This window comes from Homo sapiens, chromosome 5, assembly GCF_000001405.40.
Source record: "Homo sapiens chromosome 5, GRCh38.p14 Primary Assembly".
Taxonomy (NCBI): domain Eukaryota; kingdom Metazoa; phylum Chordata; class Mammalia; order Primates; family Hominidae; genus Homo; species Homo sapiens.
In genome coordinates, this window is record NC_000005.10 from 54,111,098 (window position 1) to 54,138,760 (window position 27,663).

A 27,663-nucleotide genomic window follows, 5' to 3' on the forward strand; every position below is an offset into this window, starting at 1 on the left:
GTGTAGACATGCACCTGTATGGTATATGTTTATTTAATTATGGGGAAAAATGCTTTACTTAAAGCAGTCCCCATATTGGTATTATGCAAATTCCATTACAAGCAAAAGTTTTGAGAAAAGTAAATTTAAAATGGATACAAATAAAAAGGAAACTCAAAGCCACATATGCTCCAGTATACACAAGTTTAGAATCATTTTCAGACCATATCTATGACAACGCTACATTTATAACTATCAGTCTTACTGAAAGATGAATCACAAAAAGAAGGAAAAAGATATTTGCTCTTTACCTAGGAAAGACAGCCAGTCAACACACACAAGGAATACTCAGAAGCAATTAATTGCTAAAAGCTTCCTTTATTCAATGTGATCATCTTTCATTCCTATGGAGGGTAACCATAAGTCATATGTTAGGTTTAAAGATACATTACTTTCAATTATATGATGTCTAAGGAAAACAGATACACAGGTTCATAACTTTAAAAGCAGAAAGAAAAAATCTTTTTTCAGATATTGCAAATAACTTGAATAAAGTTATCTGAAGTTAAAATGGCACTTATATCTATGTTTTATCAATGTGTATATGTATTATGTATATATTACATACACACATTATACTGTCTACATGTAGTAGTGTACACATACATATTACAAGATTTTTTAGAATGAATAGCTGAATAACAATGCATTCTCAGCAAACGACCTTATAATCATAAACTACCCTTCATTACATACTATTATATCTACTCTATAGGCAGAAAAACTGATGCTGAGAAGTTAAAAGATTTACAAACTAAGGTCTTAAAAGCACATTAGGAGACACCATCATTATAATGCTGAAGATCTTCACATTAATGACTTTCTGAATAGATTTTTATTGCTGTTTTTTACTTAATTACTTAATATTATCTATAAGGTATTTTTCAAACTCTATTCTTTAAAAGGTGCTACGTACTTAATGCTGAATGAGGCAACTAAAGTGAGACATGAGCTCTGTCTGTTGAATAATGGGTCCTTGCCTTTCTTTTTTTTAAACTGTGTTTCTAAAATTTGAATAAAAACTCTATTTATATGGTTCTTCTACTTAGGTGTTTAAACTTCAAAGTAAATTATCCAAATTAATCCTATTAACTTATCATAATAAATTGGATTATTCTCATTTTAGAGGTGAGAAGCCAGGCACAAGAATAGGCTATCTGCCGTGGGTCACACACTAAGTGTGAGGGAGGTCTGGAGTTAGAACATGTTATGTCCTTGGCTCCTCATTTATTTTTCAGGCTGAAAGGCAAGATTGTTCATATTAATCATCTCATTCCAAAATCACTTGAGGAAGCATGCAATTTTCTGAAGGAGAGGGGAAATCATATCCTGAAAGTTACAAGTATAAAGGAATACATCAGGAGTTTTGATTTCACTGTACTTACGTTATAATTCACTATAATTTAAGTTTTAAAAACTATTCACATATCTCATTACTGCAGTACCATGAATCACAAGCTCTATTGGCTGAGACTCTATTTGCCTAGAATTAGTCTCATGCTTTTATAGGAGAGATACAAGCTAAGAAATAAAATTAAATGAGGAAGATAAACATTGGTTCCATGTTAAAATGTATTTGATGGCATGGAATTTGCAAGACATCAATTTTCAGCCTAGCAGATTACAGAATAGGATCCATTAATCCTAGTCAACATTGAACACTTCAGAGGAACAAGAACATGACACCTGAAGGCGAGTAATGCATGGAAATACTCACGATATGTTCCTAGAAAAGCTGAAGAAGAGAATGAACTAAGTCCACAGGTTAAAACAACATTAAATAACCAGGCCTTTAGCCCCTCAAAATAGATGAAAAATATAACCAGAAACATCTTTTAACCATTGCTAAATAGCTAGAAAACTCTGTGCTCTCCAAGTAGGGTTAGGTATGTAAACAAGTGCTAACAGATTGATATAGGCTTTCTGCTTCCTATGAAAACTAAGGTTTCATGTTGAAAGCAGCATAACCAGCACATTCCTAATTACATGCATTTTTCCAGGTTCCAACGTGGCAGCAAAAGTACAAGCAAGGAAGACAAAGAGTTGTCATGCTAATGAGACATACCTCTTGTACTGAGCGAGCTGCTGGCTTGTCTTGATGATTGGCCAATATTAAAAAGGGTAAAGTGCATAACTGTGGATGCTGAAGAGCTGAGTGCAGCTCATTTCTAGCAGCTTCTAAATCATCCTCTGAAGAGGCACTGTCTAATACAAATATTACCCCTTGAGATCCTTGGTAGTAGCGGCTCCAGTATTTCCGGATGTTATCAGCCCCTGTCAAAAACAAAACAAATTTTCGTTTTAAAAAGAGCTTTCAGCAACTGAAAAATGTTCCCAACAGTAATTCCTACTGGAAACCAATGTACCTTTTAAAAATTAAGTGCTAAACTCTGTGGTATGGATTAAAACAGGAATTTAGAAAAGGCAGAAATCACAGTGGATGGGAACAAAGAAGGCAGTAGAGCCAATAGGTAGATTTGGCCTTGAAGGAAGACACAAAATCCAAGCCATTCTTAATGACTTTTATATAAAAATGTGTGTGAGAGAACCAGGATAAATACTTCCTAGACTTAAACTCAAAAGGATATTTTCAGACTTTAATCATCTCAAATGAACTACACACTCTCTAAAAATTGAGACTGAACCTGCCTCAGAGAGCTGCATGGCCTAGACATCCACCAACGCTTCTTTCCAAACCATTAACATTAGCTTGGTGATACTTTTTTAACAGAACTGCTTGCTGATCAGGACAGCCTTGTTTAATTTCACCTAGGGAGTTATTAGCACAATAGCTTTATGTGTCAAAGTGCTAAAGTTTGTGAAAAACTAAAATCATGGCCTTTGATACAATTACATGATTCTGTTTGGCTTCATAACCCATGAGGAAAAATAACAGACAACAGGTGTACACTTATGATCTCAATGAGATAAGATGTTTATTAAAACAAACAAATAAACAAACAAACAAACATATGGAGAGGCTGGGCGCGGTGGTTCACACCTGTAATCTCAGTACTTTTGGAGGCCAAGGCAGGTGAATCACCTGAGGTCAGGAGTTCAAGACCAGCCTGGCCAACATGGTGAAACCCCATCTCTACTAAAAATACAAAAATTAGCCGGGCGTGGCGGCGGGTGCCTGTAATCCCAGCTACTTGGGAAGCTAAGGCTGAGGCAGGAGGATCGCTTGAACCCGGGAGGTGGAGGTTGCAGTGAGCCAAGATCGCGCCACTGCACTCCAGCCTGGGCAACACAGCAAGGCTCCATCTCAAGAAAAAAAAAAAAAAAAGCAACACCACATGGAGAGTCTCATCAGCCAAGGCATGTCATGTAGTATTCCTCTTTGTATTTCCATTATATAGCACAACATCTAACTCAAAGTTCAGTACTGGAATAATGAAAATTGAGGGAATGAGGGAGTAAAATTATATACTAATTAAGCTTTACAAATTTGAGACTAGAACAAACTCTAGAGATGATTTAGTCCAACTCTCTGAGGAAACTGAGGCAGACAGAGGTAAAGTAAGTGATCCCTTGTCATGTATCTAATAAATCACAAAATTGGGATTTGCATGAGTTAGCAGACAACCTGCCCAGGGAAGGCATAGGCACTTCCCATTACATCATGGTGACTGTTTTCATCACTTTCATTCAAGAATAGGAGGGGCAATATGTGTGCATGTGTAGGAAAGGGGTGCTACTGGTTATATAACGACAATTAGATTTCAAGGAATTTCACCAATTTATTGCATATGATCAAGTCCTAACCAGTTAATAACTGTATTTCAGTCATCCACTGAACATCTAGCTCCTATGTTTGACATATTGTTATGTGTTAGGGAAACAGTGGGGACTGCAGTTGGTGTGCCCTGGCTGGCAAGGGTCACCTGTTTGCTTCTCTTCCCAACTCTGTGCTCAGTGACATCCTGTTGGTAGCTTGAAATCAATCAGGGTGAAAGCACTGTCACTATGGAAATCAGCAAATCCTACATATCGAGTCCTTTCATCTCCCAGAGAGCCAACACACCACTGATGACACTGAGCAGCTTATATTTTCTGGGAGAAATAGAAAAGAAAACTCAAAGATTATAATAGAGTACAAGAAAGTGCTGTCATAGAGATACTCATTAGGTCCTCTGGGATCAAGAGATAGGCATTTCATCCAAAGTGGGGCAATTCTTTTTTAATTTCATTTTTTAAATTTGAGATGGGTTCTCGCTATGTTGCCTAGGCTGGACTCAAGACTCAAGTGATTCTCCTGCATCAGCCTCTTGGGTAGCTGGGACTAAAGGCACATACCATGGTGCTTGGGGCGGTGGGGGTAAATTTCTTGAAAGAATAATATCAGTAGCCAAACAGCTCCCATTTATTAAACACTTCCTATCCTCCAGGTACTAAGTGTTTTAAAAAGAAAAGCTCATACAATTCTTACAACAATCTAAGGAGGGAAGTATAATTGACTAAGCCTTTGAAACTAATTTTCAGGTCCTAAAATCTGTGATTTCACCATTATACTATACAAAAATAACTAGGTATATATTTAATAAGAGGATCAAGGACATTTGATGTTGAGTAATGTTAAGTATGTGAAGACATGGGATATGAGCAGGGTTGATGCATATCAAGCAGGGTCCAACTAAGAAAACAAAACAAAAATAAAGAGGAAATTTAAGCCAGAGATTATTTAATATAGGGAATTCATTACTTAGGTGGTGGTGGAACTAAGGAAACAGCAGGGGTACTGAGATAAGCAACATCTTAGGTCCGGTTCCCTAGACACAGAGCCTGAGACATCATTTCTTGTACACCCGATTTAGAGGGAGTGCTGTCAGGAGAAACTAGAAGTGAAAGAAGTAAGCTAGAATGGGGGAAGAAGCTAGGCAAAGATATTGTTTCAGAAATCTAGCCTCAGCTTGATGCGATAAGGAACTCTAAAGCATGGATTGAACCACAGAAGTTGTCTAGTCCAAAGGCAAGGGAGCTGAGCTATTACACCCTTGTATAGTCATTAGCCATCCCTGGGGAGCAGGAGGGGGTTGGGGCATGATCTCATAATCTCCCAAACATATTTGGTTGGGGCAATTACTGTCAGCCAAGGGCAGGCCTCTGGAGAAGAGTACAGGTGTGAGTCATTAGCAGCCAATACCCACAGCAGCTGGGAGATGGATGCACTGGCCCAGGAAAGGAGATCTGGGTAGGATACCAACAGCATCTGCTACAGGCTACATCCAGACACTATCCATATGCTTGAGAACCATCCATAAGCTGGAGGGACAAAACTGGAGGCAGTGTTACTCGGTGGTAAGTGTTTAAAACAACAAAAATAGTGTGCATGTGTATCTGTACACTAGCTTGTTATAAATTTCACTAACATGAAGGATGTGCAGTGCACAGTTTTCATTGTAAGACTCAATGCAGCATGCTTTATTGTAAATTCCACATAGCCAACTAATGCCCACAGAATGCTTTCATTGAGTTTCTATCCACAGCCAACTAATGGCTGCAATTGACAAACTAGTGTAGTTCTGACATGAATGGTGGCTGCTCAAAGTGTTTTACGTATATTAAATCACTTACCCATGACAGTCTAATGACTATCATGAGGTAAATACTGTTATCAATCTCATTTTATCAACAAGGAAACCAAAACACAAAACGATTATGTAACTTGCCCAAGGTTACACACCTAATAAATATATTTAGGTCTAATGTGATTGAAATAGAGATCATGGACTAAAAAGGCAATGAGGCTAAATAAAGAACTATATTACCACATAAGCTAGGAGAAAAGAAATGGAACCCTATTGGAACAAAAGGTAAGTTAATGCCCACATACATTAATGGAAATATGTCCAAAAACATTTCCCAACTGGTTAATTCAATGGATAGTTATTAAGTACCTATTCCATCCATACAAGTCTCTGAGCTAGGACCTAAAGAGATATTTAGAAAGCCATTATTCCTCTTAACTGAAACCATCAAATCCTGTAAAGTAATACAAATTACAATGAGGCCTGCAAATATAGCAGGCAGAGCAAATACATCCACACATTAGATGGTGTCCAGTGAGTCAGGTATAAAGAGAATTTGGTTGCATGTTTTACTAGAGCTTGTCCCTTGGAAACACACAGGACACCTGGAAATTCAACTTGTGCAGTCAACTCTTTCAATGAGAAACTATGTTTTCATTGGCCACATTTAGGAGTACATATGGTACCTGCAAATAGTGAGACACATACACACACACACACACACACACACACACACACACACAAACCCAAAGAGAAATACCATAACTTTAAAAAATGTCCCTTATATGACATAATGTATGAATAATATATTAATAGTGAAAAGATCCTTTTCTTTAATCTCCTGCTACAGTTTCACCCAAGAATTCCCTTAATACGGCAGTAAAAGTTATTATTTTATTAACTTAGCTCTTAAACACACTTTTAAAATATTCTATGTGACTAAATGGGAAGTAAGCAAAATACATTTTTGCTACATACCAAAGTAGACAGTTGATTTGACAATAAGCACTTGTACAACTGTTTGAGTTGTAAGCTACTTCACACAACTCCATTTTTACTTGAAATTTCAACTGACAAACTATGATTATTCAGATTTGACTGTTTGATAGACATTTTCTCAAAAATAGATGTGCAAGCTTGTCATTTCAAGGAAAACAAATGATAGTATTTGTTGTCAATGGTAAAATTTGTTTTCAAGCAAAAGCTAGAATTTTAGAAAACTTATTTCTGCTAAGTTTTAAGTGAGCCTGACAGCTTTTCAGTGATGAGATTGGTGGTGATATTAATAGACAGATATTCATAAAGTAATCTGTAAACATTTGGAAGCTCTACACTACTCAGTGAACCAATATTTTCCAAATGACGAATGCATGATGTTACAAAACCATGCATAGATAAAAAAATACATTCAAAGTACAAGAAAGACCAATGCAAGTTAATTAACTGAGTACAAAAAGTTCCCTGATAAGTTTTCCAGATTCCACACTACAACTGATTAAGAAACAACCACCTGTTGAAGAATTTCAGTATAGTATCAAAGAAGACAATCAACAGTTACTTAAAAAGGTTATTAAATCATGCCTCCCTTTTTGAGTTATCTATGTGAGACTAGACTTTCTTCATATACTTCAACCCAAACAACATATTAACAACAGATTAACTGTAGAAGCAGATATGAGCATCCGGCCCTCTTCTATTAAACCAGATTAAAAAGATTTGCCAATTTTCTCACTATTTTTTTGTTTTCAAAATTGTTGATTTTCATTAAAAATGTTATTTATATTAACATGTTATGAGCTTATTATTCTTTTATAAAAATTTTTAACATGGCTTTAATTTCTGACATGGCACATATGGATACTCATTGTCTTTAATGTGAGAAAAAGACATTTAAGATCTACTGAAATTTAGGCATAAATTTAGAGCTAGTTTCTAGCGGGAATAAAAGTCTTACTTTAAACTATCTTTATTCTAACCTTGGCTGACTCAAGTCCCAAGATAGAAGAGCTGGAGTTGGGAGGGCAATCTCAAAACTAAGAGGTCTACCCAGGAAGCATCCTAATCTCCTTGGTACCATTATATCGGAATTCTAACCCAGTGATCAGATACTTGAAGGCCTAGAAAGATTACTGAATTGTGTGTTGCCCAGGAACTTTAAATGGCATGCCTCCCAGGAGATTCCAAGGTAGGTGGTCCTCAGCCTACATTTTATAAAACAAAGTTCTACGTACCATACAAACTGATATGCCAGTTGCCCTCTCCTCACCTTATCCTCCCTCAACACTTATTCTGGATGTCTATGTGACTCCAAACACAATTTTACATCATTATCTTAGATGTCAATTCCTAACAATTGCATTGAGGACCATGTCTGCATTCTGACATTGGCCCCTCCTTTATGTTCTCACTATGGTTCATGCCTTCATCACCTTCCAGCTGGATCAGTAGGATGACCTTCCAACGGCTCTTTGCACAGCTCCAGTTAAATTACTCATACTTGTCACTATGGGTTCAATGCCCCTTCAAAAATTAAGAGGTAGAACCTTTAAGAGGTGATTAAGTCACAAGGACTTCACTTTCAAAAATGGATTAATGCTGTTCTTTTGGAAATGGGTTCATTTGAGGAGTTTTCTCCATTTTCTCCTCTCTCTTGCATGTTCTCTCACCATGTGATACCTTCTGCACGTTTTGATGCAGCAAGAAGACCCTTGCCAGATGAGACCCCTTGAACTTGGATTTCCTAGCCGTACCGAGCCAAAAAAAACTCCTATTGCTTATAAATTACCCAGTCTCAAATGAACCAAGATACTTACCTAGAAAACTAGCACAAACTATCACAAATATACTAATACTTGTCCAGAAAACTAGCTCAAATTATATCACTACTCTGCTCAAAAACATTAAGTGCCTATAACTTGAAGTTCTCAAATGACTTGATTTAGCATTTATAGTTCTCCATAATCTGGCTCCACTTTGCCATTCCTACCATGTTCCTCTGTTGATCTCCTTAGATACTCCACAAATGAGCAAAACGTTTTGCTCTCCTGGACCAGACCTAAGGTTTCCACCCTTATGCATTTGGTTTTGTTATCTCCTTTGCCTGGAGTTACTACCGTGTGAGTTGTCCCCTTAGTTCTTGTAAATTCAAACCACTACATGCGCTTCAGGGGCCAGATCAAATGTTGCCTACTCCACCAAGCTTTACCTGATCTTGCAGCTGGGAATAATTTCTAAAAATCTTCTGGTCTGTTTCTCTTGGTTCTCCATGTAACACTTTCTACCCTGTAGCATAGTAATCTAAATGCATAGTTCATCTTCCTGATTACACTGGAAGAACCATATGGGAGTTTTGTGCATTTTCGTGTCTGATTCATCACCATACTCTGACCACATCTAACCCATAATGGAAACTCAATAGTTTTTAAAGAATTAATCTTTTATAGAATACTTATTCTGATTTCTCAAAAGTAGAATGTAGAATTTACCAAGCAAATCATTCTTTGCTATACAAATAATCTATCTTTTTGGTTGATGGTGGTGGCTTGAGTAAAGTTATTAGCAACTAATTTTTATGTTTCTGGTACATACCCAGTTCTGCAAGGAATCTCTCATTCAGCATCTGATATTAAGAATTCCTTAAACATATTTACAATGAAACTTCACTCTACTCATAGGCCTTTCTCAGAGTCCTGTCGTAGTATTTGAAAACATGCAGCCATAATACAGCACGTGCTAAGCACTGTACTAAAACCACAAAGTACATTAACCTATGTTCCTTGGGATACTTTTTGATTCTATCCTATTTATGAACCTTTATACTGTTCTGATGTCCAACAGAATCAGTACCCAAGAGAAACTGAAAGCATAGAAAGAAAAAGCTGTGGGAACAGTTCTGGAGAAATGTTCCCTTCCGTACTCCTGCAAAAGCCAACAGCTGACTCCTTAGAAGAACCACAGATGCCAAGGGGATCACAACTTGCATAGTTCCAAATGTTTTTTAAGCAGCTAATTCTTGAGCCATTGGCATGACACAAAAAACAAAACACTTTTGTGGTATTCTAGAAAATCTGGTGGCAAGACTAGAAAAGCTAGTGGGAACAGCTTTGCTGCAATTGACGTTGACCAAAGCAATAAATTGGGAAGAGCCAAAATGGAGACTTCCTGGCTGACAGAAAGATATTTGTTGCATACCCAGGATGAAATAAGATCTTTTAATAATGCGGAAATGCTACTGCTTTCTAGCACAACTTGCCAATTTCCCCAACCAGTATTTTTTCTTTTTTATCAGAAACTTTAACGTACCAATCCTGTGACAAAACTGATAAAGATGCAAGAGGTTCTAGATTAAGACAAACTCACGGAAAAAGTTAAAAACCATCTAATGTCTCATCCTATATAGCATAAAGTATAATTAGAGTCACATACTATAAGCCTTGATGTTCAAAAGTGGAATAGTAAATTTGTCCCTCACTTTGAGTGTTTTTTCGTCTGTGACTAATCAGACCTCAAAACAAGTTATTACCATATTTACTCACATAACAAAATTGTAAGAGAATTATGCTTGCTCTGCAATATATGACTGCACTCACATTTGCTCTTTCATCTTTTAACTGTCTCTATGACATTCTTTTTGGAAATGCTTATCAGAGCTCTTAAAATGAGAGTTCCATTTCTCCACCTGGCCCATTCCCTTTGATCTAGTTGTTGTCCCCCTATTGATGACAGAAGGCCACCCAGCATCATGTTCAGGCTCAAGCATAAAATAGTGAATGGCAAAGAAAAAGTCTAGATTTCAGGGAGGTGACATCAATGTTTAATTTTATAATGTGCATATCGAATTATGTAATTAGATAAGTCAATGCACTTTATAACTCATAAATAAATTTGGGCAGCTCTAAGTTTAGGGATCAAGTATGTTCTAAAACTTTCCAAAGCTTCTAATTTTTTTGAGAATTCAGTACACAATTTTCCTTGAAAACAAAGCAGTGAATCTCAGGAGTGAGATTCAGCCCTGAAGGACAGAATGATGGTAGAGTGATGAACAGCATGGACTCTTACTGAGTTCAAAGCCTGGCTCTGCCACATATCATCTAAGTAACATGAAAACTCCGCTTAATTGTTCCAAGCCTCAGTTTCCCTCTCAATAAAAGAGAGGAAAATAATAATACTTAATTACCTCATAGGATTGTGAGGATTAAATAACTTTTTTCACACAGTACGTAGAATATGCTAACTGTTCACAAGTGTTAACTGTCATTTTGTTGTGGATGTTACTATTATCATTTGTCCACCATTTAAGCCTATAACTCACAGAACTACTGAACGAAGAACTAACTCAAGTTAGCTCAGTACCTGGAAGTAAAAGGCTACCAGATGCTGAACAAAAGAGGCAAAGAATAGATTTTCTGTAATTCCTGAGAAAACCAATGTTATAAAAAAATAAACCAAAGTTTTTACTTGGGACAGACCCTTTCTTTTTCTGTTCAACTAACTTTCTCCTATGTCCTGTATCACCTTCAGACTCAGTATTTTATAATCTCCAGTTTCTTCCTCCCTCATTGCTGTCTAGATTTCTTCCCTTGACTAACACCAAATAAGAAATTTCTCCCCTTCAGACAAAAACGCATGTTCTTTCAGTACAGGTGTCTTCAACTAGACATGAACACAAACAGCATGATTAGTCGTGTTAACATTCAGGTGACACCCTTATGAAAACCAAAACTGATCACTAATACAAACTGGTTTTGTCCACATGTGCACGTGCATGCGTGCGCAATGTGCGTGTATACGCATACCTTTGAGAGATGATGTTACCTACAAGGCTGACATACAGTATACATACACATACATATAAAGCTATTATTACACTTTATGACATTTCTCTTTCTTTTGTTATAAAGCATAGATAACCAAAAATTGGTACTATTTTTTTCAGCGGCTTGCATGGTTGCACAAATAAGAGCTCAGGCAGCATGGGTTAAGGCAGGGGGTGCCATTTGTAGGCAAGTACTCTTCTTTTTTTCTGTCAAGTAGATTTTTAAATAAAATATAATTGAATTGTGAATACAAGAAAAGCAAACACAAATCTAAGCACAAAATGGGCTTTTTCTTAATAATTCTTGTAACTGTTTATAACCCACTTTTTCAGCCTTTTCACAGCTTTTGCTTAAGCATTCTAATTTCACTGGTTACCTGTCTCCATAGCTCTACTAAATAATTTTTATAAAATACCCCAAGATTCTCATTTGTGCTGTTCATCACTGTGTCTCCAGTATCTATACAGAATCTGGCACAGAGCAGGCCATTGATATTTATTGATTAAGTTAATTAATGAGTGAATGGGGAGTGATTATGTAAACTATTTACCCATCGATTCGAGGACAAGAAGTCTCATTTTTATATAGTCTAAAAGAACTCTTACTCACACCCTCTCTTCTTTTTATATTCCTTTTTTTTTTTTTTGAGACGGAGTTTCGCTCTTTTTGCGCAGGCTGGAGTGCAATGGTGCCATCTCGGCTCACTGCAACCTCTGCCTCCCGGGTTCAAGTGATTCTCCTGCCTCAGCCTCCCAACTAGCTGGGATTACAGGCACCTGCCACCACACTCAGCTAATTTTTTGTATTTTTAGTAGAGACAGGGTTTCACCATGTTGGCCAGGATGGTTTCGATCTCCTGACCTCGTGATCTGCCTGCCTCGGCCTCCCAAAGTGCTGGGATTACAGGCGTGAGCCAACGCACCCGGCTCCTTTTATATTTCTTATCTGAAATACTGTTTCTTCTCTCTGAGCTTCTTTCTAAAGCGGTACAGTCCCTTTTTTTCTATTCTCAGAAGCAAGCTTCCCCTTTGTGTTTTGAAATTGCCATTTTTAAAGAGGATGCTAGTAACATGATCATCCTATTTCAGACAATTCGAAATGAATAGTTTCTATGAGTGAAGGTGGATGAATGAACCATTAAAATCATGTCTTAAAGTGATCAGACTTCCCTCTTTACACAATTACTATATATTAAAACAAGACTAGCCCACTCCATCACATATACCATCAAGCAGGTTTCTTCATACTTAATCATATCACTAAATCAGTCATTGCCAACCTTCTATCTTATGCTCTGGAATGCATCTTACTGTCTCAAGAGGCAAGTGGAACTCTCAAAATGAAATTAATTTTAATTAACTTTAAAATATAAGTGTTAATGTGTCATACAGCACTTGGAAAGAGAAGGTTATACAAAAGAGAGTGACACAGCATTAAAGGAGTAGGGATCAATGCACTAGCCAAAAAGAAGACAAATGACTTTGAAACATTGCCTGAGGTTAAGCACTTCACTTCCAAATACAGTTTCCCACGAAGAACACACTCAGGAGAAAAGGGAGAGAGACAGTGTAATTTGAATGATGTTACACCTACTGTCTAAATTTTATTTAGATTAGGATAGTTAAAGACTATATTTGCCTGAGGACAGAGAATAGGCTACATGAGAAGAGACATTTATTGGGTATCCAGTAAGGTTCCACAGTGCTGAATTTTCTTACAATTCTGATATTAGATTAGGACTTATTTTCATAGTTGACTGATAAGAAGATATCACTCCTTTCATGCTCTTCTTATTCTAGACAGGTCGAAACAGTTATAGGGCAGCACATATAAAAGTATGTTAATCTGCTTAAGCTTGTAATTCTGACATAGGATCAACGTCCATTTTTTAAAAATTTGTTTTAAACACATTTATCATAGGCTTGCTGCTGTTCTGAATATTTTTTCTTATATACAAATGACTGACCACAGAAAAAAATAGCAAAGAAAAAAACACATTATCTACCACACCTCCACTCTTTGGTTTGTATTCTTCAAGATTTTGTCTCTTTCTTAATTAGAAAAATGAGGATTTTACTACAAACCTCAAAAATCAGATCATTCTATTCAACAAATACACAAACACAGTCTTAGCAAAAATCAATCTAAGGTCATGCACCATTGTTAATAATAGATATATAAAAAACTTTAGAATGACCCATATTTTGTATTTTCATAAAGCCAGAAACCACATATTTTCTTTCTTTATACTTGCCATAATGGCATCATAGGTGCTCAATGATTTTGGATTTAAAGAAGGTTAGGAAGAGCATAGTCATTCCAAGCTAATTACTAAAACCCCACAGAAATGTTACATGGTGAAGGCTACCCCTTCATGTTTGTGGTAGGTAGACTCTAAGATGACCTCCAATGATCCCCACTTCTTGATATTGACCCCTGGTGTAATCTCCCCTTGAGTGTGAGCTGGCCTAGTGCCTTGCTTCTAGCCAAGAGAATGTGGCAAGGTGATGGGATGTCACTTCCTTGAATAGGTATCTTCTGTCTTGCTATCAGATTCTCTCTATTGCCTTTCTGGTAAGCAAGTTTTTTGTTTTGTTTTGTTTTGTTTTTTTTTTTTTTGAGACACAGTCTCACTCTGTTGCCAAGGCCGGAGTGCAATTCTCCTGCCTCAGCCTCCTGAGTAGCTGGGATTACAGGTGTGCACCACCACACCCAGCTAATTTTTGTATTTTTAGTAGAGACGGGGTTTCGCCATGTTGGTCAGGCTGGTCTCGAACTCCTGACCTCAGGTGATCTGCCTGCCTTGGCCTCCCAAAGTGTTGGGATTACAGGCGTGAGCCACCGCGCCCAGCCCCAGTACGCAAGTTTTTATGAAGCAAACTGCCACACTAGAGAGTCACACATGGCAAGGAATTGAGTGTATTCTCTCACCTAGGAATGGAGGCTGCTAGGAACCGAGACCCTCAGTCTAACGCTGCCCCCACAAGGAAATGAAATCTGCCAACAAAAACAGGAATTAGAAAGAGATCCTTTTATGGATGAATAATATTCCATTGCATGGATATACCACACTGTTTATCTGTTCACCTGCTGATCAGCATGTGCGTTGCTTCCATCTTTTGGTTATTGCGAATAGAGTGGCCATGAATATTGGTGCACAAGTTTTTGTTTGAACATCTGTTTTCAATTATTTTGTATGTATTATCTACAAGTGGAACTGCTGGGTCAAATGTTAATTCTATGTTTAACTTACTGATAAAACGTGTGCTGTTTAAGTCCCCAAATTTGTAGTGAATTGTTACACAGCAATAGATAATTAATGCAAAGTTTAAAATAAATTTGCAGCTAGGTAGAAATTCCCAAATGTGGATTAATGAACTACAGGGAGAAAAAAATAATAATTTACCATTGGTCTGACTGGCGACTCATGATTCCCCCAGTCAATAGTATTTACTGCATTCTCAAAATACTTCTTAAAAAGCAACATTAAAAAAATTGCTATGAGGGTTTGCCGGGTGCCATGTGTTGCGCTGTGCTGTACTGCAGAGATTTTTTTTAAAAAAGAAAAAGGCACAGTTTCCACCCTCAGAGTGCACAGATCTCCAATTAAGAATTACCTCTGCTGATATTCTCCAAAATTCTGTTCATCAGCTTATTTCTTCTCTTGTTGTACATCCTCTTTGGGAAAGTCTTTACTCACATTGTTTCATCTACCTCTAATATCACGAAAACACTCAGTTCAAATGCTCTCATCTAATTTTCTCCTGAGCACCAATACTCTTACTTCTTCTATCATATGTTCCCTTCTAGATGTTCCCCAGGAATTTTAAACTCAATTTGTCCCCAAATAAACTAATTCTTGCTATGCACTCTTTTCCAGCCCAACCTCTTGAATTCCCTGTCAGACTTAGCAGCCAAGATTGAAACTATGAATCTTAAGTCATTCTTTACCCCTTATCCTTTATTCCTAATTCTCAATCAACTGCCCAACTTACCTCTCCTCTATAACCCAGTGTAATTGCCAAGCTCTTTGAAACTTTTAAAACTTCTCTGCTATGATTTGAATGTGTCCCCCAAAAAGCATGTATTGGGAACTTGGTCCTCAATCCAACAGTGTTGGGGGGTAGGGCCTAATAGAAGTTGCTTAGGTCATGAGGGATTCACCAGCACAAATGGATTAATGCTGATTATAAAAAGGCTTCAGGCTGTCAGTTCAATCTCTTACTCTTCTGCCTTCTGCCACAGGATAACACGGCAAGAAGGCCTTTGCCAAGTGCCAATGCCATGCCTTCGAACTTCCCAGCCTCCAGATCTTGAGCTAATAAACTTCTTTTTTTAAATTTTTGTATTTTTTTAATTTATTTTTATTTTATTTTATTATTATTATACTTTAAGTTTTAGGGTACATGTGCACAATGTGCAGGTTAGTTACATATGTATACATGTGCCATGCTGGTGTGCTACACCCATTAACTCATCATTTAGCATTAGGTATATCTCCTAAAGCTATCCCTCCCCACTTCCCCCACCCCACAACAGTCCCCAGAGTGTGATGTTCCCCTTCCTGTGTCCATGTGTTCTCATTGTTCAATTCCCACCTATGAGTGAGAATATGCGGGTTTTTGTTCTTGCGATAGTTTACTGAGAATGATGATTTCCAATTTCATCTATGTCCCTACAAAGGACATGAACTCATCATTTTTTATGGCTGCATAGTATACCATGGTGTATATGTGCCACATTTTCTTAATCCAGTCTATCATTGTTGGATATTTGGTTTGGTTCCAAGTCTTTGCTATTCCCAAAATCTCCTTAAGCTGATAAGCAACTTCAGCAAAGTCTCAGGATACAAAACCAATACGCAAAAATCACAAGCATTCTTATACACCAATAACAGACAAACAGAGAGCCAAATCATCAGTGAACTCCCATTCACAATTGCTTCAAAGAGAATAAAATACCTAGGAATCCAACTTACAAGGGATGTGAAGGACCTCTTCAAGGAGAACTACAAACCACTGCTCAAGGAAATAAAAGAGGATACAAACAAATGGAAGAACATTCCATGCTCATGGGTAGGAAGAATCAATATCATGAAAATGGCCATACTGCCCAAGGTAATTTATAGATTCAATGCCATCCCCATCAAGCTACCAATGACTTTCTTCACAGAGTTGGAAAAAACTACTTTAAAGTTCATATGGAACCAAAAAAGAGCCCGCATCACCAAGTCAATCCTAAGCCAAAAGAACAAAGCTGGAGGCATCATGCTACCTGACTTCAAACTATACTACAAGGCTACAGTAACCAAAACAGCATGGTACTGGTACCAAAACAGAGATATAGATCAATGGAACAGAACAGAGCCCTCAGAAATAATGCCGCATATCTACAACTATCTGATCTTTGACAAACCTGAGAAAAACAAGCAATGGGGAAAGGATTCCCTATTTAATAAATGGTGCTGGGAAAACTGGCTAGCCATATGTAGCAAGCTGAAACTGGATCCCTTCCTTACACCTTATACAAAAATTAATTCAAGATGGAGCTAATAAACTTCTGTTCGTTATAAATTATTCAGTCTCAGGTATTTTGTTACAACAGCACAAATGGACTAAGATGTTCCTCTGGCTGTTTTTCCTCTGCTACACTTATGGCTTACCTAGAAAATTCTTATGCAGATTTCAAGCCTGAACCCAAACATTATGACCTTGTGAAGCCTTCCTTAATTTTATTTTTTATAAGACTACTTTCTCTATCCATTGTGATCCTGCAGCAAACTGATTATCTCTTCAATTTCAAAAGCTAGACACACAACAAAGCATCAGTTTTTACATGCCTAGTTCTTTATGACTGTTGTGGGCTGACAGATTTCTGCACTTATGTTCTGAGACCAATTTTTCTGGATATTTTAGGTAGCTAATATAGGAATCAACATATAATCTTCACTCAATTCATGTGTGCTGAATTTAAAATAGCCATCTGATTTATATTATGATTCACTTAATCAACTAACAAGTATGTATTGAGTAGCTTCTATGTATCAGACGTAACACTAGGCATAAGGAATATGGTGGCAAACCAAATAGACATGACCCCTGCCTGACTCATGAGCTCACAGTCTCACAGGTCACTGAGTTGATAATACATTTATGACACTATGTCATTTAGGCTTCAACCTATCTCTGAGCAACACAAGTATTTCCTATATTTATTATTTTGATTCTTTTTTTTTTTTTTTTTGAGATGGAGTCTCGCTCTGTCGCCCAGACTGTAGTGCAATGGCGCAATCTCAGCGCACTACAACCTCCACCTCCCAGGTTCAAGTGATTCTCCTGCCTCAGCCTCCCGAGTAGCTGGGACTACAGATGAGTGCCACCACGCCCGGCTAATTTTTTGTATTTTTAGTAGAGATGGGGTTTTACCATGTTAGCCAGGACGGTCTCGATTTCCCAACCTCATGATCCGCCCACCTCAGCCTCTCAAAGTGCTGGATTACAGGCATGGGCCACGGCGCCTGGCCTTACTATTTTGATTCTTAAATAAAAACTGGAAAATTAAATTTCTTTTCAGTGAGTTATAAGTAAATTTTATTACCATCATTAGCACTGCATTAAAAACAACAAAAAAACCAATCCCTTCCTGATACCTTTCAACATATATGACTGTTTGTATACTATCTAAATCGAAACATCTAATATCTAAATCTGAACATTGATAGGATGCCTCAACTATCCAGAAGACAGCTAAAAATTAAGAACCATGGGACAGCCAACAGAAATGTCTCCAAATTAATAACCTAAAGCTCCCATGCTTAACATTCTAAAAAGTCCCTCAGGTCCACACAGAAACCTGGCATAGAAAAAAAAGTGATCACAATTTCTTGGCTCCCTATTCAGAGCATATTAGAAGTAGTAAATCATTATGTGGGTGATGGAAGAGAGAGAGAATCTGCCAGAAACAGGCACAGAGACAGTAGCAAGAAGAGATAGCTACAACAGAGACTAAATCAAGAAATTAAAAAATTAAACGAGAAGAGATAATAACTATGAAAGAAAATAAGGCACAGAACAGAAATTAAAAGCGTAGCAGTTCAGATTTAATGTAGCATGCAATAGCCACCCACTTTCCCAATAGTACTGTAGGGTTTCTGATGTCCATCAAATAAATGATGAATTATATTCCTGGCATTTTCATTTATTATCATTTGAACATATAAATGTAACAAGGAAAGTCTGATGAACGCCATTACCAACAATCCTGTCTAATCCAGCCTCACCTCACTTCCTCCTTTCTATTATTTTAAAGCAAACCGTTAATATTACATACTTTCATCTGTAAATATTTTGGTATATATCTAAAAGATGAGAATTCTTTTTAAAACATAGCCAAAGTACCATCAATATATGTAAAAGAAATTAAAATCAATTGTAAAGTTTATAGCCCATTTTCAGCATTAAAATGTCTTAAAATATTGGCTGGATGTGGTGGCTCATGCCTATAATCCCAGCACTTGGGGAGGCCAAGGTGGGAAGATTGCTTGAGCCCAGGAGTCCAAGACCAGCCTGGGCAACAGAGGGAGACCTCGTCTCTACAAAAAGTAAAAAATCAGCCAGATATGGTGGCACATGCCTGTAGTCCCAGATAATTGGGAGGCTGAAGCAAAAGAATTGCTTGAGCCTGGGAGATGGAGGATGCAGCGAGCCATGACTGCACCACTGTACTCTAGCCTGTCTCAAAACAAAACAAACAAACAAACAAGCAAAACCATAAAATGTTTAAAAATATTAAATCAAAATATATTTTTACATTCTTAATTTTATTGGTTAACTGTCAAGAGAGATTTAAAAAAAGTGTTCTGGGAAGCACTCTCTTTCCTAATGCAACACCCAGTGACGATGTGGCATCATTAAATTATGATATTTTGCTATTGAAACTTAATTCTTTAATCAAGGAAAATCCTTTTACAGAAAATCATTAATTTTGTTTAGTCTACAATAGCTCTTTCAGATTTAAAAGTTAACAATGTAATTTATTATTATTTGAGGGCCACAGACTAATTCCCTGAAAGTGTTATCAGAAATGATATATTATTAACTTATTAGGAGATCATAGGCTATCGTGAGAAAACTTCATGTCAAAATTAGTTGTATTAGTACTGAGATGTAATTATTCTTCAAAAGTATCATAAAATCAAAAACAAGTAGGGAAAAACAAATACAATGATACATACCTGGGAAATATAGAATTGATTTTTGGTAGCCAAAACTTAGGTAGAAAATTAAAGAACCAGGGACACAGGTACATAATCATCTCTTCTTTCAATTAAAAGCCATGGTTTGAAGGAAACTTAAATGAATGGCACTCTAGGTAGTTGATTTGGAAACTAGGAACCTATTTGGCACATCTAAGGAAGGATGCGTATGTATGTGTGGAGGGGAGAAAATGGGCAGAACACAAAACAGCTTTAAATTGAATTTGAGAGAAATGTCTAGATGAAATCTGAAACTACAAATCTTATCTTCTTCCTAACTTAGATGTGCCTTGGAAGGATTACAGAAGTGCTGAGATCCCTGTAGCCCTTGGGGTGTCCAGTGGGACCTGGGGCATGCTCTCCCCATCTCTTGTCATCACCTCTAGCAGTAAGCAGTTTCTGTTTATCCTAATATACCATTAAAATATTATCATTTTCAATGTTTGATAATGTGAAAAACCTTGCAAAGCATTAGTCCAAAGAGCTTATTAGCCTGTCATTCAAGGCTCTTGATGATTTGACCCAAATGACCTTTCTAACCTTGAATCTTTTCACACCATTTATGAAACGTTTACACTGGTCAAAATGAACTGCTCGTGTTTTCCCCTTACACCCTTCATGCTTCTCAACTGCTGTTGCCTCTGGTTTGAATTTCTCCTCCTCCTGGGGATCTACTTTTTCCCTATCTTTATATTTTCAAGTATAATCGATTCCTAAGCCTGCATTAAATGCCATCTGTACCACAAAACCCTTCCTTTTACTGTATTTGTATATAATCTTTTTTCCCCCACTAAGGAGCCAGAGTAGTCAGTTATCTACAGTTTTTAATGTCATGCGTAACTTTCTATTTTGTACCATTGTTACTTATGTAAAATGTTTTTAGTTTACCAACTAGAGTCAAAGTTCTTTGATTGCTTAATTCAAGTAAATTTACTCCAGCACTTTCTGAGAAACTTTTATGTGCCAAGTACTATACTAGGTGCAGAGGATACCACATTAGTGTGGCTACACTATCACCAGAATTACTGAGTATTGTTTTTAAAATTCTAGCCCAGCTACTCGGGAGGCTGAGGCAGGAGAATGGCGTGAACCCAGGAGGCGGAGCTTGCAGTGAGCCGAGATCGCGCCACTGCACTCCAGCCTGGGCCACAGAGCAAGACTCCGTCTCAAAAAAAAAAAAAAATTCTAGCCAATATGATAAGGCAGAAATTAGTAAGAGGTACTGCAACTGGCAGGGGGAAAAAGTATGATTATTTATAGATACAAACCCAAAATAATTAATGAGAAAACTTAGAACTAATAATAACATGGTTCCATAAGGTGATAAGAAACAAAATTTAAATGTTTTCAAATACTTTGATAATACATTAAAAAACATTTAAAAATCCAGCAATTTTAACAAATATTTTAATATGCCAATATGTACATGGAAAAATATCCCAATATGTATATGGATGAACACACAAACACATACGCATGCAGGCACAGAAACAAAATATGTCTTATACTACCATATAGTATAAGAAATATTTTAATTCTCTCCAAATTTAATGAATATGTTTATTAAATATATTTATGCATTTAATATAATAAACATTTTAATCTTTCCAAATTTACTATTGAGTTTAAGACACTACCAGTCAAAATCTCAAGGAAATCTTTAACCCAAAATTTCACCTGGAAATCATTAACCCAAAATCTTTCATGCAAAATTTCACTAAAAACAGTCATATTTTTAAGAGCAAAATAATCAATAGACACAAATTACAAAGGAGATACAAACATAAAGAATTTTAATTTGTTATTTAAAAAATATAAACTAAAATTATATGGTACTTTTTTTTCTTAAGTGAAAGTAAGTTTATTAAGAAAGTAGAGGGATAAAAGAATGGCTACTCCATAGATAGGGGCTGCTGGTTGCCATTTTTATGGTTATTTCTTAATGATATGCTAAACAAGGGGTGGATTATTCATGCCTCCCCTTTTTAGACCATATAGGGTAACTTCCTGATGTTGCCATGGCATTTGTAAACTGTCATGGTGCTGGTGGGAGTGTAGCAGTGAGAACGACCAGAGGTCACTCTCATTGCCATCTTTGTTTTGCTGGGTTTTAGCCGGCTTCTTTACTGCAACCTGTTTTATTACCAAGGTCTTTATGACCTGTATCTTGTGGTATGGTACCATTTTTCACTTATCCAACTGCCTAAAAAAATCTAAACGATAATCTGCAACAATATGAAAGATCCAATAACAAAGACAATAGAATGTATTTCTAATAGGAATGTAAATCTATGTAAATTTTCTAATAAGCGGTTTTGTATTATGTATCAAGAGCCTTACGATGTTTTAATCCTGAATTTTCTGTTTTTAATATCTAATCTAAGGAAATATTTAGAAACTCAATTCAAACATAAACTTTTAAAAGAAAATCAGATAAATACTAAGTGCCAGATCTATACCAAATTACACAGGACAACACAGGCATATAGAAGATCTGGGAAGTGCCTACCAAGGACATAGATACTGAAGGTTAAATTATTTTATCATTAATCATCAGAAATTGTCTAAACCATATTAAAGAGTCGAAGTTCCACACAAGTCGGATTCAGTTAGGAATACTGACAGAGGTACTGATAAAAATGAGTTGATAAGGAGGAGGGTAGATCAGCAATCAAACCCCGAGGAGAGAGAAAGTGGCAAGTGCTGGCAGTACCCCACACAAGTATTATCCATGGCCAAATACGTGATTTGTCCAGTCTTGGTAGCAGGCATATCGCTATTAACAGACACACTATCAGAGCCAGATGCCATTAGACATGTGGCCGCTATAAGGTCCTCAGTTCTGACAAATGTATACCTGATTCAGCTGACAGTTTCATAGCAAAGAAGGATAAGAAAACAATGACAAATCTAAGTCTCCAAACTTAATTGTGACCATCAAAGAAGAAATGGTTACTATGTTATTCTAGAGACTACACTACCAAAAATGATCATTTACCCTAGACTGTAGAAAGGATTTCAACCTAACAATTGGAAGAAGATGAGAAGGCGGAGACCATGAATGGTCATCCAAAACAGGAAGACAGTTAAAGGAGGATAAAGCTATCAGAAAGGGAAAGATTAGAGGCTAAAATGAAGTTATACTCGCAAAAATGTTAAGATCAGATAAGAAAAAAAACTAGAGAGGGCATAAAAAGAGTAACTTTGAAAACAGTTAAGAGGAAAGTAAATTTGCAGATAGGAGAGAGTATATCAAACTTCTTTAAGTTAACTCAAGTCTCCAGATCCAGACAGATTACATACAAGATAGCAGAAAAACTCAGATGTAACTGCAAAACTGCTCTGAGCAATGTTATGTAACCCTGGAGAATGGGAAGGTTACCAGATGATTGGTGATAGGCAAATATTGCCCCAGATTTAAAAACTGGGATCATTGTGAACCACCATGGGTTCACTAAGAATAAATGTTTCTAAATAATTCTCAGCTCCTTTTGGACTGACTTGCTAGGTTGGTACATTTGGGGAATACCATAGTATGGGATCATTTCAGGAAAGTATTTGACAAGTCTCTTACAGTATCCTTGGGAAAGAAAGAAAGAAATCAGACGGCAGTAGTTCGGTAGCTTTGTAGCTGATTTAACTGACTTACCCCCAAATTCGTGGATTTGTGCCAACATGAAAGGGGCTAGGTCTTCTATGATTTGCAACCAATCTTGGTTTTCACAGCACTTCACACGTAACTCTACTATAGCAATTATCACACTCCATTACAGTTTTATAATTACATGTCTATTATTCCCTATAGCCTGTGAGCTCCCTGAAGGAATGATTAGCTTTTTTTTTTTTTTTTTTTTTTTTTTTTTTTTTCTGAGACAGAGTCTTGCTCTCTCGCCAGGCTGGAGTGCAGTGGCACAATCTCGGCTCACTGCAACCTCTGCCTCCCGGGTTCAAGCGATTCTCCTGCCTCAGCCTCCAGAGTAGCTGGGACTACAGGCACGCACCACCACACCCAGCTAATTTTTGTGTTTTTAGTAGAGATGAGGTTTCACCATGTTGGACAGGATGGTCTCAATCTCTTGACATGGTGATCTGCCCACCTCGGCCTCCCAAAGTGCTGGGATTACAGGCGTGAGCCACTGCGCCCAGCTGGAATGATTACATTTTATCCATCTTGTTATTTCTAGCAGGGAGCCTGAGATTAGCACAGAGTAGACAGTCTGATACATGTTTACATATTTTAATTGAATTAAAAAGTTGAAGAAATTATTTTAATATTTACAGATGTCTCAAAGCTGAAAGGAATTGCTAATATGTTGGATGATAAAAGAAAAAAAGCCAAAAAGTTCTTGACAAGCTGGAACAATGAGCCAGCACTTACACAATGAAATTTAATAGAGATATAAGTAATGTCTGGTACTTGGAATAAAAAAAAAATCAGCTGAAGAACACAATGGGAAAGACATGACTAAAAACAGCTGGATGTTTTGACAGCTTATCCAACATGGGCCAGTAGGGTGCTATGATTCGTGTTGTTGGCATGAAAAGAAAAAGCAAACCTAAAAAGAGATGAATATCACTGGTCAGACCACATCTATAGCATCATGCTTCTAGGCACATATTTTACAAGGGACCCCACAATTTAATACTTCTCCAGGAGACAAGGAGGATCGTGATAGACCTGGAGACCACATCATAGGAAAAATAGTTGAAGAAATGGAAGATAATTAGATTGAAAAGTGATCCTTCAGAATACATGACACCTAAATTCATGTTTCCCAATTACTATCTAGGGGAGCTGTACTATTTGTTAGTGTGGCTCCACAAGGCAGAGCTAAGATTATTTTAACAAAGAAACAGAGAGTTGCATTTTAGTAAATTATAATGAATGATAATAATGAAAACTCTTCAAACATGGCATATATACATACTTTCTGAGACTGACTTCCTCACCATGCAAGTACTCAGTTTGGGACTGTTCAGTTCAGTCACATGCCAGAGATTTGAAAACAGCAAATTCCTATTTGGTGTAACAGGTTTGAGCAAGAAATGTCTGATTTAACAAATATGGTTTCATATTCTTTTATGAGATAAAAACTGCTGGAAGGTAGAATGCTATTATAAGACTCATTTCTGAAGGAGACTGCATACCCAACTTTCCTGACACTGCTTCTGAGAAGGACAGGTTAGACCACTGCCCACTGCAGCAAATGCACCCATAGCCCACTCTGAGTTCCAGAGTGATGGTAGAAAATCTGGAAAACACTGCCTTGTCTCATGTGGGGCAGAGTTTCAAGACAGCAGAAGGCAAGGGAGATCAGAAACATCACCTTGTTATTCAGGTAAACTGTAAAAGTATATAAAAATATATAAGCCATCAAGAACAATGAATTTATAAGCTTTATTCCCACTCTCTTTGTATACTGACTCCCAGATTCATTGACTCATTTAGTACAATTTTATCAGCAAAAAAAATTTTAAAAATGACTACTTAACTAATGGATAATGTATATTTAATATGCGATTTTCTAATCATCCTTCAAATACCTTCAATAGCCAGCTACATCATGAGAGATATATCTGCATGTTTAAGATTAATTCAAATTATAAGGAGAATTCAAAAGTGAATTAAAATGTGACTTACAGCCAGTAAAATACAAGCAAGTCAATTTTTCAATGCATCTTGACTAAATGTAAAATATCATCTGTTTTTGTGACAAACAAGTCTGTATCATTAATCATATGCTTCCAGCTGCAACAGCTCGCATTCAAATTAAAACCATGAAATAGCATCACAGTGTCAAGATTCACGCAAACTGATCTTTTAACAGATTGTGAGGGAAAAAAAAACATACATTAAAAGAAGAATCTGGAGAAAATGTTACACAATAAAAACATCTGAAAGAGCTTAAGCACACAAGATAGAATTCTGGTTTTTGAACTGTATTGGAATTAAATGTTAAACAAAACTCACAGCCTGCTCTTAAACAACGAACACATCATAAAAAATAATTCTTTTTATAGCCACAGGGCTGAGAGTTTTGCTGTTTATATCTATCCCAGCATACAAATCCATAGTACTGCCAGGACTGTCCCCTCTGACTTTACTGGGAAGCTAGACAGGACAGTCTGCCTGGGTTTTTTTTTTTTTTTTAGTTTAGTTCAGTTTGTGTCCAAAACTGGCCCAAGAATCATCTCTTCTTCAGTCACTACACTCTTGCCTGCCAGTTGCACAGCTCCAAACATTCTCCTTCCAGCTACAGATATTAAAATGTTTTGTTGTTTTAAAATTTGATTTAGAACTGCAGTAGATAACCTTTTTTTTTTTTTTGCTTCAGGCTCCCCTAGGTCAGCAAGGCATAGTAATGTTCAAACAGTGCAACAGCAGCCACTCATTGCACATTAAAAACAAGGATGGTGCCAGGAACCAGCAAAGTGATATATTCTAGGTTAGCCATGTCAGGCATTTTCCAGTCCCAAAGCAGGTTTCATATGGTCAGCACATGGGCCAAATGATGCACATGGCCGTCCTGCACTTGCCCCTTGTGTCCTCCTCTGGTGACCTGCCCCATTGAACTCCCTGGACGAGATTCCCAGCGATGCTATGCAAAGAGGACATGTTCCTCTGAGAGTATTTTCTGCATTAGGGCTCACATTGTATTGCCATGGGACTTTACACTTTTAGGGTATAACCTGACATGCCACAACCTTTTCTTCCACTCCTCAGTTGACACCTCTTTAAACTGGTGGCCCAGCCCTAGCCTAGTACACATAAAAACGATAATAGCCACTCTGCCAATCAAGGTTAATATTTCAGCTTCTCTAATAAACCTGGGGTAGACACCATGATACAATATATAAAAACAAGAAAAGTAAAAATTCAGAACTTTATCTCAAAATTGTGCAGGCTCTTACCTACTAGATTTCCTTATCTTGTAACCATCATTTCTTTGTTCTTTTGTTCCTTGTTCACAGAGATATTGTTCCAGATGATAAATGGAGGAGTATGTAAGATTTTAATTTCATCACAGCCTATAAAGAATATTCCCAATGAAATTTAATGTGAATTTTAAATTGTATATTATAGTTGGGCATGGTGGATTTCAGAAGCTTTGAATCCCGTAACATGGATTTTAAGAGAGAAAGCTTTTTTTTTTTTTAAAGGAAAGTAGGATGAGGAAATAATATGAGGAGAACATGCAGTGACTAATCACTTACAAAAGAGAATTTTAGAGTCAAAGTATGCCTTAGAAATGGTCTGGAAAATACGCAGCCAAATCAAATAACTTAATATGTATTGAGACTTCAATGTTTACAGAAAATTTGAAACCTTTTATAAAACCACTAATTCTTTTGTAATGCTACAAATTACTTAATAAGAGTTACTAATGTATAAATCTCTATTATTATATTTAGGATTTTCTTCCAGAAGAGTACCACCACACATCTTAAAATAGGAGGATCTCGATCCAGGTACAGTGGCTCATGCCTGTCCCAACATTTCGGGAGGCCAAGGTGGGAGAATCACTTGAGGCCAGGAGTTCGAGGCCAGCCTAGGCAACATAGTGAGACCCCATCTCTAAAAAAATAAAAATAAAAATTACCAATGGAACAGGATAGAGAATGCAGAAATAAAGCTAAACGCAACCAACTGACCTTTGGCAAAGCACACAAAAATATAAATTGAGAAAAGGACATCTTATTTAATAAACGGTGCTGGAAAACAAGATGACCAGATGTAGAAGAACAAAACTGGATCCCTACCTCTCCACTTACACAAAAATCAACCCAAGATGGATCCAGACATAAATCTAAGACCAGAATCTGTAAGAATTCTAGAAGAAAACCTAGGAAAAACACTTCTGGACATTGGTCTAGGCAAAGGATTTATGACTAAGACCCCAAAAGCAAATGCAACAAAAACAAAAATAAATAAATAAATGGGACCTAATTAAACTAAAAAGCTTCTGCACAGCCGAAGAAATAATCATCAGAGTAAACAGCCCACAGAATGGGAGAAAAAATCTGC

The 27,663-nt window shown here is 36.9% G+C and overlaps 1 protein-coding gene across 10 annotated transcripts in view; it reads right to left on the bottom strand.

Annotated features, from left to right (window-relative positions):
* ARL15 (ARF like GTPase 15) overlaps positions 1-27,663 on the bottom strand; it is a 426,632-nt gene that overhangs the window by 227,156 nt on the left and 171,813 nt on the right. For 9 of the 10 annotated variants that reach the window (NM_019087.3, XM_011543500.3, XM_017009598.2 and 6 more), the window contains one exon: positions 2,105-2,313. In NM_019087.3, the coding sequence (NP_061960.1) occupies positions 2,105-2,313 (209 nt within the window). Of the gene's footprint in view, positions 1-337; positions 2,314-27,663 lie in introns of those variants that run through there. The other variant, XM_047417339.1, reaches the window with a different exon arrangement.